The sequence below is a fragment of the Homo sapiens genome, chromosome 1 (assembly GCF_000001405.40).
Source record: "Homo sapiens chromosome 1, GRCh38.p14 Primary Assembly".
Lineage (NCBI taxonomy): Eukaryota > Metazoa > Chordata > Mammalia > Primates > Hominidae > Homo > Homo sapiens.
The window spans coordinates 72,510,977-72,528,677 of record NC_000001.11 but is presented as its reverse complement, the minus strand read 5'-3'; the positions used below and the strand labels follow the sequence as shown (position 1 = coordinate 72,528,677).

Sequence of the window (17,701 nt, the reverse complement as noted above, 5' to 3'; positions counted from 1 at the left end):
TTTTCCTCCATCCACACTGTCCTCCTAAAAAAATCCTGTAAAAATTGCTATGCGTGGATGTTCACCATAATTTTATTTATAATAATATGATTAACTAAAATATGGAATGTCCACATTGTGAAATATGTTCACTATACTTGATATATGTATTACTGTATTTGAAATGTCCAGTAAAGGAATAAAGTAATTTATAAAGCTAACATAGATATATATTTATTGACATGGAAATAGAAGCGCAGTATATTCTATTGCGAGAATAATATCCAAAGCAATATACACATTGTTCCCTATTTTATTAAAAAGTTATGTTAGAAAATACATTTGAAGACATTACACGTAAGTTTTTCTATATCTATTTGGTGTGAATTTTCAATGGTTTTGTGAATAACTAGAACAAGTACTTTTTTTTACTTAAAAAGAAAGAATCTTCCCAGTCATTTCTATAACATTGGAATCTTTTTTTCCCAAGATCAAAACAAAAAACTTATGATTACATCTTCAATTCACCCAGACCAATAGCATCCACTTAAAACAACTAGTTTGGAATTTGTGTGTACAGCAGTGGTTGTGTTACCATGTTACCTGCTACCTTTGTTAAGAGATGAGTTTATCTATGGTGTTGAGATTTCTTATCGTTAGAGATATGCAGGTTAATATTACTGGAATTAATCATTCTTAATAGAGACTTTAAAATAGGTGAGAAAAAGGTTGACCCAGCATTGATTTCCTTTAAGGTTTATAATATTTCCATCTGCTTGAGATTATTTTCATCAAGTTTGTGGAAAATTTACTGAAAAATAAATCTTAACACAGTACCAGCTTATAAACTATCACATTTTTGTCTAGAATAAAATATTATTTTATATTAACATTTCACAATGACCTTTTAGCAGTCTTATTATGGACAGCTCTAAAGCTAAGCTGTCATGTTAATGTAAGTATTGTTGGCAAATCATTTAAAAACAGTGTTATTTACAAGGTTTGTGCTAGAGCATTTCCTATACATTAGATGACTTTCAAAATGATAAGTTGCATTGTTAATAGTTAATAATAGAAGTTAGCAGTAAATATTTCTCTTCTTAGACCCACTTTTCACTGAAAAAGAGATTTCTACATAGCTTGCTCCAAAATGGGATTGAAATATACATATCTGGTCCATTCATCTACACTCATTTACCCGCTTCTTCCCAAGAGAAGAAGAATGGCTGATCTGATCTTACTATCCATTGGGTCATGTATCTAATGGACACAGCTAGGGTTCTATATTATCCTGTTGTCATTGCTACTTTGTGTATTACTGTCTGCCCATGAGTCATTGAGATAAGCCAAATACTTGGGCTTTTAATAATTGTTCTTAATCTGCTTAGGGCCCAAGAGAACATATGAGCATACAGATTTCAAGGTTTTGACTAGGGAAGGAGAAGAAAACTTGATTCCAGTCTTGCTTTTAGCCACGATCTCTACTTTTGGATGTTGCTGGTTAGGTCACCCTCCTCTTTTCTCTGTGATGTCATTATCTATCACTCTTTTCACCTCTCTCATTCCTTGCTGTGCCACAAACATGCAAAAGCTATTTCCTTTGTCTGGAAATTCCTTACCAAGGTATTCATATTCTGCCCTTCTCGGTTCTGACGATATCAAGTTATCGAAGGTTAATAGGTGACATGGTAACACAACCACTGCTCCACACACAAACTCCAAACAAATCATTTTAACTGGATTCTATTGTTCTGGGTGTAATGAAGATGCAATCATATTTTTTGACCACTCTATCGAAGAGTTACCTCCGTGCCCCTCAAGCTCTAGTCTCCTCAACCTGATTTATTAATTTTCCATAGAGCTTACCACAATCATACTTTTTAAAATAATTAAGTCAACCACAATTGAATTGTTTGATAAATGAAAAAAATGAATGGGATTAATTTTAAAAAATGGGATATTGACTAGTCATTAATACAGAAGGCAGATGGGTTCATGTTTGCTCTCTGGCTTATTTCTGTGCTTTATTCATAGGTTCCTGAAGCCTGAAACCATAATCCACCAGCATTACCTCATTTGAAATTGGCTCTAGATTCAGCATTATAAAAATGCTTATTACGGTTATGGATTTCAGGTACCACAGTCATAAGGGAAGGATAGATTTTATGAATAAATATAAAGAGGATAAATTTCTTTACTTAGAAAGGGAACATAGCATCTTATTGAAATTAGGTGGAGAGAAAAAATATACATTTAATGGAACTTTGCAAAAAATAGTGCAAAAGTAAGAACTTAAATTCATAATCCAGGAATTATTGAATCTAAAAATAAATAAATAAATTTTGCTCAAAATTCAGTAAAAAATACTTCAAAGAACAGATTTTTTAGAAAGTAAAATAAAATGAAGAAAGATATGTTCATTGAACTGGGATAAGACAAGCCCACACTTGATAAAAAAAATTTTAATATATGAAAGGAAAAGTAAGTATACCTACACGTAACTCATGTTATCATTTGAACTAGACAAATGGAAAGTTGACACTATCCCAAATTGACGGAAAAAAAATGATGATGGGCACAGTCTCAGAGTTATCTTGAATAAATCTTACAAAGCAGTCAAATGTCAAGAAAATATTGAGAGATGCCCCTCAACAGAGGAACAGAGTAATTTTAATCCCTGTTTTCATGACTGGAATGACTGCTCCTGGGAGTTACTAAAAACTTTTGGATTTGAGAAGTGTCCTCAGCATGGAATATTTCAATCATTTGTAGGTGAATTGAAGGCTACAGATGTATTATAAACAAAAAGCATTATTTCACATGCCCTGAGGTAACATTGTTGGGAAATATTTGAAGTCTAGACTCAAAGGAATATACACCGAAAATGACACATACACCATGAAGAACAAAAAACAGACTGCAGGCTTGACTTACGAGCTGCGTTCCCAATAGAGATTCCTTCTGTAGAGTATTACCCTACATAAGGAAAATGGGACTGAGACAATTCCCATACACGATAGGTGCATTTGCATTCAGAAGTCATAATCTTCATATGTTTTTCCACATAGCCCTCCATAAATATAATTCAAGGGAGGATGCTAAGGCACATATGTCTGTTCCAAAAGGCAAAGTAGAAAAGAAAACAAAGAATTACACCTTTATTGAGCAAATAAATTTTACTCTATATTAAGTGGAGAAGAAATGAGGCCAACTTACAAAACAAGTAAAATATTGTGAAAGCACAGCTGAGTTGGCTTGAAAAGAGTGGAAATGGCAATTGAAAATGAGAGGCTCATCTCTGAATTTCGAAGAAGTTGGGAGTATCTTAAATGCCATGCACTGAAAGAGGAGGTTGTATGCATACATAAAAAGCTTACCAGAAATAATGAAATAATTTTGTAAAACCAAAAATCATGATTATAGATTTTTCCCAATGGGCATAAATTAAAAGAAGTTTTCCATAGACACTCCACAAGCTGAACAGCGTCCTGGTGGCACTAAAATATTTCCTTTCATGTATTCTTTCTCTCTTTTCCCATATAATTCCAGCTAACTACTCCTGGAATATAACAGCAATATTGATCTAGCTAGGGTCTTTAATTTGTTTGGGGAATGTAATTGGATTTGAGAGAATAGATACAGAAGTTAAAATTTTTCTCACATCGTCTAAATGTTTAGATGGAGAACTTGTCATGATGTTCTTACGTTGTATCCTTTTTCTAAAAATTAGAAAATATTAGCACTTTATGGTTGAAGTAACTCAAATATACAAATTGCTAAGGAAGCCCCATTTATTTTATTGGAAGAAGTGAGGATGGAACTTTTGTGCAGGAAGGAACTATGAGGAGGATAAACAGGAGCTACTCATATTTATTCAGCCATTTATTCTATCAGAAATTATGTTCAAGACTAACAGGGAAGAATAGTACATGTTCTCAAAGCACATAACATGATTTGTAACTATAATCTGTAGCTCCAGGACAAGGTCAGATTTTCATTTCATTGTAGTAAAAAACCTCTTTACTGATTTTCCAACAAAGGAATTATCAATGGACAAGAACCCCATAAGAATCTAATAGAGAAAGTGTTACTTTGTCACATCAATATACATTGATTGACATCTACCAAAATTGTTGTTAGCGTAGAAGAAACAGCAGCCAAGAGAGATGTATACATTTTCTATAGCTGCTAAAACCAATTACCACAAACTTAGTATCTGAAAACAAATCAATTTGATTATCTCACAGTTTTGTATTTCCTTAGTCTAAAATGAATCTCACTGGAATAAAATCTAGGTGTTGGAAGGGATAGGTTATTTTCTGGATACTGCAGACAAAAAAAAAAAAAAAGAAAAGAAAAAAAATATACTATCCAGCCCTTCCAGCTTCTAGCAGCTACCTGCATTCTTTGGGTCATGTTCCCTTCCACCATCTTCAAAGCTGAAATTGCCTGTCCAGTCTTGCTCACCTCACATCACTCTGACACATTCCATAGTCACATTTCCCTCTGACTGTCTTCCACTCTTGTGATTAAATTAGACCCTCCTGGATAATACAAGATTATCTCCCTAAAGTCAGTTAACTGGTGACCTTAATTCTATATGTAACCTTAACTCTATTTTGCCAGGCAACATAACATAATCATAGGTTCCATGGATTAGGACATAGACATCTTTGAGTAATGGGAAGTTTCATTGTTCTGCCTACCATGAGAGGACTTCTACATATTAGGTGGATTTGTATGCCTACAGGCAAGACCAAGTAGGAATGTTTATTCCTGTTCAAAAAGATTCATTAAGAGAGTGAGACAGGATCTCGCCTTGTCTCCCAGGCTGAGTGTAGTGGCACAATTATGGCTCACTGCAGCCTCAAACTCCTGGGCTCAAGCAATCCTCCCATCTCAGCCTCCTGAGTAGCTGGGACTTCAGGCACGTGCCACCACACCTGGCTAAGTTTTTTGTTTTTTTGTTTTTGAGACAGGGTCTTGTTATGTTGCCCAGGCTGGTTTCAAACTCTTAGACTCAAACAATCCTCCTACCTCAGCCTCCCAAAGTGCCGGGATTAAAGGGGTGAGCCACCACACCTGGCCAGTTTAAAATATACTCTTAAACTTTGTGTCACTATCCCACAATATAGTTTCATAAAACAGCCAAAACCGGCAAATAGATAATAATGCTACAGAAACAAAGTACAGTGTTTCTAAAAAAGGCAAAGATGCTAAAAATTCTGGAGTATTTAAGTGGGAAGATTTTATTTGATTCGTGGGATCAGCATTATTAAGAAGGGTTGTAAAGGGGTACTTCTAAGTAATTTGTTTTTAAGTGTCATTTTTGACTAGTTCATTCAATTAAGAATTGAGAGTCAGCATACTTGAGTAGAAAGGGCAAAGAATTTAGTGTTTTGAGGAACCTCGAGAATTGAAATTCCAGATGTTCTAGTCTTCTCTTATTTCTACAAGTCTTAATCTCTCCAAGCCTAAATTTACTTTCTGTAAAGTAAGGAATATAGATCTAATCCATGGAAATGTCTGTAAAATTAAATTACAGATTAGTATCTAAAGCATCTAGCACACTTCTTACCATAAAATAAATTCCCACTGAATAGTAACTATTATTTTAAGCTACTATCTAAACCCCATTGTATAAAAATTTTATTTATTAGACATATACTTTGAAAATATCAGGCCTTCCATAGACGCTAATATCTTCTGCTCTAGTTTCATTAGATTACATATGCCTGTCATTTTCACTGAGAATATTCTGAAATCAGAATAGGATTTTATGCATATGAATTTAGGCATAAACTCCCACAAAATATCTGATTCTTTTGAGAAGTATATTGATTGAAGGTTATATTGTGTTTATATTCTCAAGATGCAAGTATTTACAGTAACAGTAGAACTATTACAGTATTGTGACTTTGAAGTATTTAACCAGTACAATAATGTTAAATATATTAGATGATTATGTGTCTAGGAAGTTATGATAGCATGTAAAAATAAAATTATTTAAAATAGGAGAGAGGCCAGGTGCAGTGGCTGACACCTCTAATCCCAGCACTTTGGGAGGCCGAGGTGGGCAGATCACTTGAGGTCAGGAGTTCAAGACCAGCCTGGCCAACACGGTGAAACCCCCCATCTACCAAAAAAAATACAATTAGCCAGGCATGGTGGTGCGCACCTGTAGTTCCAGATACTCGGGAAGCTGAGGTGGGAGAATCGCTTAAACCCAGGAGGCAGAGGCTGCAGTGAGCTGAGATTGCACCACTGTACTCCAGTCTGGGTGACAGAGTGAGACCCTGCGTCAATAAAATAAAATAAGAGAGAGTGGAAATAAATTGTAACATAACTAGAAGTGGCAAGGCAGACATATGCCAATTTTTCAGCAGGATAGTTGTCTTTGAATCTAGTGCTTCTTGTAGTGTCTGGGACATCCTAGATGTTTAAAACAAAATACGTTATTGGAATTGAAGTCAGAGTTTTCATCATGTTCATTGTATCTTTTTATACTGCAATTGGCATTAATTGGTCTTAGTAAATGGTTGTGGGAGTTGTGACTAACCTGAGATAAATGTGAGACTTATCTTTAACTTTTTTTTCAGTCTGATTTTTTTTTTTTACTCCTGTTCATAGTTTGCCAGTTTCTGATTTATTATTACCTTTTTAAACCATTGTTTTTCAATATATGCCTTTCATTAATATACCTGAAATCTTAATATGAAATCAGACTAGTCACCAAAACAAATAAACATTCAGGCCAAAATTCATTCAGATCCAGCCTAGCTTCCACATCATCTGTGCTACATAAGAGCATTGCAAAAGTAATACGATTTTATGCTTTTGTGTGTCTTGTGTGTTCAAATAAAAGGATGAGTTTTATAGGGGCAGTAGTAGTTTGTTTGTCACGGATACAAAGGGAGCAGGAAATATGTTTTAGTGGCATGCCCAGCACCTTGAATTAGGCTATATTATTACCTCCATGACACCTATTGCTCTTTCTGACACACTCATGCATAAAGTATGTAGATTTCTCTCAGCTCTTCAGAATCCAAACAGACTGCAAGAGCAAATTATCCTTTCATGCAATGTACGGTAGTTTCTATAAATTATGGACATTTTCTAATCACGTTTTTTTTTTGAGTCATGTTTTTTCCTCGGTTGCTTCTGACTAGAGAGCTTCACAATAACTTTCTCTCTCTCTCATCCACTTTGTTGTTTTTCCATTTATCTTCCTATGCAACTTCTAACCATGTGGTGCCTAATTTGTAGAAAAGGACAAACAGGTGGCCTGTTTGAGCTGTGGCCTTGAAGTCAGGTTCAGTGAGAAAGGGGACAGGCCAACTGACTTCTATGGAAAGAGAGCTGCATTAGAGGAAAGTGGCTCAAGCAAGTAATCTATCTGTAAAGTAGTCATGGTCAGGTATCTAAAAAGTTGTTTGCATGAAGAAACTATGTGGTTAGTAGTGTGTAAGATAAAATGAACATAAACAAGTATCATCAAGGTGAAACATGTTTCAAAGCACCTAAGTCTTTGAGTTGGTATTCATTCAATCATTCATTTCACAAATGTTTATTTAATGTCTACTATATGCCAGTCACTGTTCTCATATCTGAGGATATCACAGGAAGTTATGCAAAACAAAAGCACCTGCGTCAATGAAGCCTTTATTCCAGTGAAAGAAGCAGAAAATAAACAGTAACATCTGAAGAAATATAAAACAGGATAAGAGGAAAGAATTTGTGGCTACCATTATAAATAGAGTAGTCAGGGAAGTTCACTACCTCTCATACATAACTGAGAAAAAAGGTATAAATCTAGTCTTCTTTACTTTCCAATAAATATTGATACAATTTTTAAGAAATCTTTTTCTTTTCTTTCTTTCTTTCTTTTTTTTTTTTTGAGAGAGAGTCTCACTCTTTTGCCAGGCTGGAGTGCAGTGGCACGACCTTGGCTCACTGCAACCTCCGCCTCCTGAGTTCAAGCGATTCTCCTCTCTGCCTCCTGGGTTCAAGTGATTCTCCTGCCTCAGCCTCCTGAGCAGCTGGGACTACAGGCACCCACCACCACGCCCAGCTAATTTTTGTATTTTTAGTAGAGACGGGGTTTCACCAGGTTGGCCAGGATGGTCTCGATCTCTTGACCTGGTGATCTGCCTGCCTCGGCCTCCCAAAGTGCTGCGATTACAGGTGTGAGCCACTGCGCCTGGCCAAGAAATCTTAAGGATATTTGGGAACTTGATAATGCCACCCCCTCAATTAGCTTACTTAAGACAATCAGCTCTCCTCATTAGGTTGTGTAGATAATCTGGTAGAAAGTATTCTATGCTCCCAGTGGTTTGTAGAGTGTGCATTTCAGCATCTGCTTAACAATGAAGACTGGAAGAGACAGCAATTCCTAGGAGGATAGAGGTAGAAAAATTATTTTTGTTTTGTTTTGCTTTGTTTTTTTTTTGTTTTTTAAAACCCTCAGGAAAAATTGAGATGGATTTTAAACCAAGGAAATAACCTCGTCTTTTGTAGCATCTTCATCCCTCATGTCCTGTTGCATACTCCCTACCTTGGCCTTTCAGAAACCCTATCATAGGCAGAAGAAACCCCAATCAGTGAATCAGACCTGCAGTCCTCTAGGTTTTCAGTGTTTTAGAAATGTGGGATTGAGGATAAAGAACATTTTTGTTAGGTATATCAGGCCAGGATGTGATTCTATAGTTCCAAGTTGGTATTTGGAACCCATTTTCCAATAGTGATGTTATTATGCAAGCTACTTAGGGCTTGTGGTAATACTATTTATCCACCATTTTAGTTATTTTCATAATCTTCTATTTAATCTTATATGGTCATATACATACATAATTGTATATATCATGCACATATATTTTATTTATACTTTCTTTGAGTCTCCAAAAATTAAAAAAAAATGTAGTGGAGGCTAACTTGGAAAACAGCCTAAAACCACAACACACATTTTTTATACAGCAAAAAAAGTTCCATATTCCAAACAAATAATAACAATGCGTTCAGAGAATCCACCTGTTTGTTTAGTTGGAAACAGCTTTATAGTAGAGCTTCCGAATAAAATTACACTAAGCTCTATATAAAGAACATTGGTAGACATAATTACCCATAACATTCACACAAATACAACACTGTTCTGTACAGAATGAAGAAACCAAAAAATGACTAATTTCCTCCCAATAAGTTCAAATGATACACTACCATGTGGTTGCTCCCTTACTGTTTTTCCTTCCAAAATGTCTTTAAAGCTGTAGTATCAGGAATAAAATATCTCATAAAAAATTTAATAACATGAGTTATTTTGTAGAAAGAAAATTAATTCACATATATTACTAAATGAAAGTCCCAAATGGTAAAGCTCTTTCTGGAAAAGGTTATTTGTAATGACCAAATTCGTCACTGTTTGGAAACTTGTAAAGGTCACAATAGAAGGTTTTCACTTGTTTTAAATAAAATTCTATATTTTAGAAATAAATATGCTTTTCTTCCATTTCATAGAAATATCAACACTGTTTGCACTATAATTTACTTTTTGAGCCTCTGACATTTACCCAGCTGACTGTCTTTGGAGAACAATCTCTTGTCTGAGAAGCACTCTAGGTAAGAAAACTGTCAATTACAAATTACTGTTTGATGCATTGCAAAGTGCAGGAACTCTTCAAATCTAAATAATGACCTTGTTAAATACTTTTGTGTCTACTACCTCTAACTTACACCTTAAACAGAGTTTTTATGTAAATACAGAGCAATTTGACTAAAAAAAAAAAGATTATCAAAGAAGAGGAGTGCCTCAATGAAAATAATTATGCTATAAAGCTAGTAATGGAGTATTTCTAAGTTCATAAAATGTTAAATTAGATTTGAAATACTGTGAAAGTCTCAATATTATAGGCTTATCCTGTTATCTTGAGGGAAATATATTTTATTCATAAAATAAGTAATTGAAATCTTGACTTTTATATATGTATATATAATTTGAATTAATTGTAAAATTTACATGTTTAATGACGTAAGGTGAATGGATATATAATTTATTAATGTCCATATTTTATATTTATTCTGAACACATCTTAATACCTATACTACATCAACAAGATACATTCTTCAAAATTAAAGTAAATATTTTCTAAGAGTAATTTATAGTGATTTAAAAGAGAAAAAAGGAAGCCAATGCAACATAAACTGATTATCAAAGATAAATGTTTCTCTCTTGTAATTGACATTATAAATTGTATACTTACAAATGTATGGTAAAACACGTGAATCCACTTTGTGTCTTTAGTATCATGTGCATTTACTAAATTTTACTGTAGCATAAACTTGTACCTTCAGTATATTTATCAAAAATATTATAAATGTATAATTGAAATAATAACTTTTGCTAAAAAGAATTTCATCTTTCAGTAAAATTTAATGTCAGTTCTGGGATGAATGATATGTAAATACTTTATATTCAGACAGCAATCCTCTCCAGAGGAAAACAAAAATGAAATTCTCCTTATTATGGCTAACGCTTAGTTTAAAATTTGCTTGGATTTAAACAAATAAGAATTTACATTTTAAACATGTACTTTTTAAGACTTATTTCCATGTTTTAAGATAAAGGAAAATATTGTTGAATTATATTTTCAGTTTATAGAGCTGATACATATAGAGAGAGATACATGTATACACAGCATATACATATATATCATTAGAGCTGATATACATGTATGTATGTGTGTTTATATATATACACACATACAAAATATGTGTATTTGTGCACTCACAGTGAGCGTTCAAATGTTTGTCTCTTGATTTGTCATTTTTCTGTATCTAGTGAAAGCACTATGACCAGTTTTTTTAATAGTCAAATAGATCTAATAGACGTTCCACCTCAACTTTATGATAATCTGCAAACACACATGTGTTATTTTGGGTCATACTTCAAAAATGATTTTACATGCCGGGCATGGTGGCTCACGCCTGTAATCCCAGAACTTTGGAAGGCCGAGGTGGGCGGATCACCTGAGGTCAGGAGTTTGAGACCAGTCCGGCCAGCATGGTGAAACTGCGTCTCTACTAACAATACAAAAATTAGCCGGGTATGATGGTGCGCACTTGTAATCCTAGCTACTGGGGAGCCTGAGGCAGGAGAATCCTTTGAACCCAGGAGGCGGAGGCTGCAGTGAGCTGAGATCCAACCATTGCATTCCAGCCTAGGCACCAGAGTGAGACTCAGTCTCAAAAAAAAAAAAAATTATAATAATTTTACAAATCAGGATTGGTTTGCATAATGAATGCAGACATTCATTTATACCTTCATTAGTGCACTCATTCAAAAATACTAGGTCAATTGCTAAACAGAGTTACAATTCCAAATAAGCCAGCAGTTCTCTCTTCCAGGACATCATAATCTCATTAAGGCAAACAAGTAAATAAGAAATTTAAATACAATGTAAGAAATGACATAATGAAGGCAAAGTAATGGGGGCACATCAGAGAGGCAGTGGAGGGGTTTAAGAGATGCTTCCTAGAGTATCCAAATTCTAAACTAGATTGTAAGGGATTAGCAGGAATTGGATAATAAAATGGTATCTACAAGTGACATTAATACTTTTGCAATGAGAACGAAGTTTAAATACAAAGAAGTACGTCATTTGTGGTTTCACAATTCCCTTATTTCATTATTACCAAAGTTTTATCTGAACAGTTTTATGGACTTTAGAAAAATATTTTACATATTTAGACTGGCAGTGATTTCTGCAGATTCTGTCTTGGCTTGTTGGTTTCTCTATGAGCAAATGAAACTTTAAGCAGCTCATTTTGTGTTTGTTTTCCTAATTTCATTTAAAGAATTCTCAAGTATTAAAAATATTATGATAATTCAGATTATGATTTAAATAACATAAATCCTCAAAATTAAGACTTTGTTTTTTAAAGCACATTATATTGTGGTGCTATTGCTAGTTATAAGTTAAACATCAGACTTTTTCTTTCTCTAGGCCTAAGTCTATGTATTGCGTACTATTGTGGAGCACATGATTATCTGTTAGACATCCACAACGTGTTCGAATGTTACGATCAGAAGTATGACTTCTGTCATCTGTTCGTTCTTCCTTGTTATTTTCCTTAACTTTGCTAGCATAGAGGGCATCCTTATTAGAATGTTCATTAAACAGAGGTTTCAGCACTGCCTGTGTTAATAAAATCATCAAGCATTCCTTTATAGGCATGACAGGGAGACTGCTCATCTATCATGAGTATTTCATTAAGTGCTACAGAGCCAAGAGCTCCAGGAATAATGCCAGATTTTTTTTTAAAATAGAATTTCAGTATGTTGGAGTTTCTCTCATTTTAAGATCTGTACAATTTGTAGACTTACTCACCTGTGTATTCTCACAGTACCCCCTGACACACAGGATACAAACACCTTGATTAGGGTTCTTCTGAGCTTTGAATGAATAACTCAGAAAAATGTTCTCAATAACCTGTCCTTGTCACCCAAAAATGGACAAAGAGAAAAAAAATCTTCAAAGTTCCAATTAAAACTCGCTCTGCAAAGGACTTCACAAAAGAGTTCATCTTTCTATTACAATTTTATTTTTTGGCAAGTCATCACATGTATTTTTGTAAAACATATCAACAAAAGAAGGTTAGTGTTGACCAGTTTCATGAAAATCCATTTCTTAAGTAATATCAGGAAACCCATTCAAACATCTATATGCACACTTAGATGAACAATCTAATGGTAGAGTTACCTCAGTCTAATTGTGGTATAAAAATACTGTTTTGAAACAGATACAGAAAACTGCACATATCTGTTATTTAGAAATCAATGCGATCAAATATATATATATATACACACACATATATACATATATATGTATACATATATACACACACACACACACACACACACACACATATATATATATATATGTATATATTTGAGACGGAGTCTAGCTCTGTCACCCAGGCTGGAATGCAGTGGCACGATCTTGGCTCACTGCAAGCTCCGCCTCCCGGGTTTAAGCGATTCTCCTGCCTCAGCCTCCTGAGTAGCTGGGATTACAGGCGCATGCCACCATGCCCAGCTGCTTTTTGCATTTTTACTACAGACAGGGTTTCACCATGTGGGTCAGGCTGGTCTCGAACTCTTGACCTTGTGATCTGCCTGCCTCAGCCTCCCAAAGTGCTGGGATTACAGGCATGAGCCACCGCACCTGGCCAAATCTATATTCTTTGAGAGAATGCTTTTGGGCTGCAGTGAATCAAATGTTTCCTTCTCCAGCCTTAGGACAGAAAATTGGCCATAATGAATCCTAGGTAATGTCCTCAGTGCTTTCCCCATTAGGTTTAGATGGAATAGCAAGATCGCTGCTTCTTGACAACCATACATTGCACACTGTTTCGGATAGCACCCTATGGTCCTAGAGACAAATATTCAACCTAGGGTTATCCTGATAGAAAGCTGGTGTCTAAGTGGTAATCCTTCCATTGAAAGAGCAGTTGCCATCATACTCTGGGACAAAAGGTTTGTCTTCGAAATTATTAAGAGATGTAGCAAGTATCTATGACTTGTTGTTTGAAAGTTTGAATGTTCTAGGCTTGGAAGTTTGCCAAGAGCAAGTGTTTCATTTTCTTTTGGAGCCAGTCATTAGCCTGGGCAGCATAAAGTTATGTTTCTCCTTACCCAACACCAACCTGAGTCTCCATCCCTAATCTTAAAATTCTTTATCAAGTTTCCAAGTTAAAAATCAGAAATGCTTTTGTGTCAGTCTTTAACATTTAAACTGTCAGGTTAGGAAGAAGAGATCAACAACGTGGCTGGGTAGGGCCTTATCTTTGAAACCAAAGCTGCCAATAAACAAAACACTTAAAATGCGATATTTCATAGGAATTAATGTTAGATAAAGAAAGGGAGGAGCTGAATTTCAATTTTTGTCCATGAAGTTAAAGTGAAGCTATAAAACAGTCACAAATTTAGATTGCATGCATTTAATCACATGTGGTAATAAATTGTAATAGTTTTTCATTCTGCCCACCATTTTGTGATTATGGTGCTTCGCTTTCTTTTTAGGCAGTTTTCAAAATTGAGATTTCTTTATTATTTCAATTAGCAACTAAGTGTTAAGCATCTACTATTTGTTTGTTTATGGATGATCCACTCCTCAAATATGGGGGCTATGTGTCTTTAGCATTTGTGTTCACAGATGCGAGCTAAAGGACTGGCACATAAAACTGAACAGGTAATTATTTGACAAATGAATGCAGTATGCTAGAGGAGAAAAGATACTAAAGAAGATGTAGTCCTCAAAGAATATATACACTTTTGCCCTGAGACAGACACATAAATAGATACTTACAGTTATATTCTATGACTGAGGTCTACTGCCAAGTGCTCTACGGTCCTAAAAAAAACTGGAACTTATTCTGGGTGCGGTGGCTCACGCCTATAATCCCAGCACTTTGGGAGGCCCAGGTGGGCAGATCACTTGAGGTCAGGAGTTCGAGGCAAGCCTGGCCAACATGGTGAAACCCCGTGTCTACTAAAAATACAAAAATTAGCCGGGTGTGATGGCACACACCTGTAGTTCCAGCTACTCAGGAGGCTGAGGCAGAGAATGGTTTGAGCCCGGGAGGCAGAGGTTGCAGTGAACTGAGATCGTGCCATTGCACTCAGCCTGGGTGATAGAGTGGGACTCTGTCTCAAAAAACAAACAAAAATCCAAACAAACAAATAAAAATCTGGAACTCAGAAACCAGCATCCTGGAGTAGGTGATATTTGAACTAAATAACATTCATTTGAGTTTAGAAAATGTTTTGAAAATAAGCAGAAATCAGATCAAGAAAAAGAGAGGCTTAACCATGGAGTGAAAACAGATGTATGAACAACCAGGAAAAGAAAACAACATAGAGCATTTGGAAATGGTATGCGGTTGTATGTGGCTAGAGAAAGAGGCTGTATGTATTTATGTAAATGATTTTAACTAATGCTAGAGTGATAGGCAAGATCTATCTAGATCTTGAAGTGCTGTCATTTTTAATTGAAGGGAATTGACTTCTTCCTGAATGCCAGGGAAAAATCAAAGAACTTTAACAAAGAAAAAGACACAATTTTTTTTGCACTTAGGAAGACTACTCTGGCTTCAGGGAGGCATGGAGCTTTGATAATGGCCAGGCAGGAGACAGCAAGAACAGTCAGGAGACTAAATGTTACTTTATAATTACACAAAGAGTAATGTGCTTTCTCTCATTATCCATTTTTAATTGTTTAACATAATTTCATTGATGTTTGCATTAAAATATTTATTTCAAAATCAACCTACAATTTTTAAAAAGAATTTTCCATAACTCCATCCTGTGATAATAATTTTCTTTTCAATTAATGGGAATTGACACTCATTTTTGTTTAATAAGACAATTTTAAGTTTTAAAATTTTAATTAGAAATAGTGATTTATATACAGTACAATTTGGGTATTAGCTAGCCTGGACCAGATAAAATTTATTACCTTAACCTGAGCACTGCCATACTTTTGAATTTTCTTCCAAAGCAAATGTAAACAGTGCTTCTCTCAAATTTCTCCCATCAATGACTTTAATTAGTGATTAGTGGTTATTGCTTGTGGTTTCTGTATCCCCTCTATTAATGAAAAGTCACAAACTAATGATTGCCTTAAAATGTGCTAAAATGAATCATCCTTAAAAAATAACTTTTCTTGTTACTACTCTATGCATGCTGCTCTCAAAAACAAGATGTGGGGTAAGCTGGGAAAAATAAATAATGCTATATTGAGTTTTTATGACCATTTTTCTTTCTGGGAAGTGAAAAAAATATATTCATCAAAACTGCACTCCAAAAGGGTGACAGCATTAGCTTTTCCATCCCAAAAACTTAGAGTTTAATATAATGTAAATGTAAGTGATTAGTCAATTCAGGTCAGTCTAAAAGGGACAACAAAGTGACATTTCAATTTAAACAGAAACTACTATAGCCAACCTTAATCAGGTTTTCTAATAAATGAGTTGAGGAAGAATATTTCATATTTCTTAATCCAAAAATACCAATTGTCATGACTCTGTTCAAATGCCACATGACACAATATGAAAATAATCATGAACTGAATTGAATATAAATGTGTTATTCTAAATTGCAGATTCTACACTATTTTTGTTTTCTTTCAAACATTATTCAATCATTCAAAAATGTACATTACTTAATAAAATTCAACAACCATTCACAGAACTCTTACTATAGTTAAAATGTTATATTTTGATAAGTGGCATAGACTGAAAGAGGAATTCATCATGCATAAAGTCATTCATTCACCAAACTTATTGAGCTACTGTTCTGCATTAGACTCTGTAGTAGAGATTGGGGATGTATTTCCAAGAAAAGAAAGACCTTGTATCTGACCTTAGGAAGGAACAGAGATATTAATCAAATAATCTCACTAACAAAGACAAATTGACAACTGTACTCCGTAGTATGAAGGAGAGATATACCATACATATGTGAAGGGATTGTCTAGTCAAAAAGATTAGGGCAATCTTCCTTGGGGAAGCTATACTTGAATTGACATCTGAAGGATGAGTTGCACTTAACAAGTTACTGGGGAAAGGGAGAGCAGCTGAGAAAGGAAATAGCATATGTAAATTCATTGTTTAGGATAAATAGGAGGAATCCTAGTGACTACTATGAATTAAAAAGATCTGGGTGATTGGGATGGAAGGTGCTTAGGGTAGGAAGATTCCAATGGGAACCTGTTGAAGAATTTTTAGCAGGAGTGAGAGAATTTGAGGAGAGAGCTTCAAAAGACAATCTAGAATTTCTTTTGAAAATGTCTCCTAGTTACTGTGCAAAAAATAGATGGGTAAAACTCAGAGCAGTATGTCCAGTTATGAGGAAAAGTGTGAGGTAGAGATGAGCATAGGTGTTGATTAGTCCCTGGGTATGGTTGAGATTACCTAGGAAAAGGAAATGAAGTCAGAGGGGAGAAGACTTTGGATTGAGTCTTAAGGAACTCCAAATTTATTGGCTACATTAAGGAAGGTGAGCTTACCAAACACAAGGAAGGCGTAGCCAGAGGGTAAGGAGAAAACTAACAGTAAGTCATGTCAAGAAAACGGAGGAGGAAAAGTGTTTAGGAAGACAGTGGTTAACTATATTAAATGCTACAGAGATTTGAAACAAAATAAGTACTTTTTAAAATACATGTAAGGCTTATTAACATGAAGTCGTTGGTAACATTGGTGAAATTATTTCATGGGATTATGATGATGAAATCCATGTTAGCATGGGTCAAACAGTAAGTAGGAGCAAAGGAAATCGAGACTGCGGAATAGGCCACTACCTAATTGTCTGGCTGTAAAAGGAAGAAGAGAGATGAGACTAACTGGAGAGGAAGGAAAGGGAGAATAAAGTTTGCATTTGGGTTTTTGTTTTTTGTTTGTTTAACTATATGAATTTGGCTATTTTTAGGATCTCTGGGAAGATGAGAAAGAGAAGTGGAATATACAACAGAAAGAAAGCATAAGCTTATCTGAGAAGGATAAAGAGCCTATGAGTACAGGCATAGATGGAATCCACAGAGAGGTTGGGAGATTTTCTTGAGACGGAGCATGGAGAGCAACAGCACTAGTAGAATGGGATTTATGGATATGCAGGAATAATCTGGAAGATTCCATCTGGTGGCTTCTACTTTTATTTTCATAGAGTAGAAGA

At 34.9% G+C, this 17,701-nt stretch overlaps 1 long non-coding RNA gene across 4 annotated transcripts in view; it reads right to left on the bottom strand.

Moving 5' to 3' along the window:
* Positions 1-17,701, bottom strand: part of LOC105378797 (uncharacterized) — a 396,491-nt gene that overhangs the window by 150,747 nt on the left and 228,043 nt on the right. The window contains exon 2 of one of the 4 annotated variants that reach the window (XR_001737670.2): positions 8,242-8,371. The exons of the other annotated variants lie outside the window; for them this stretch is intronic. This is a non-coding gene — a long non-coding RNA (uncharacterized LOC105378797). The remainder of the gene's footprint in view (positions 1-8,241; positions 8,372-17,701) is intronic. 4 annotated transcript variants of the gene reach the window in all.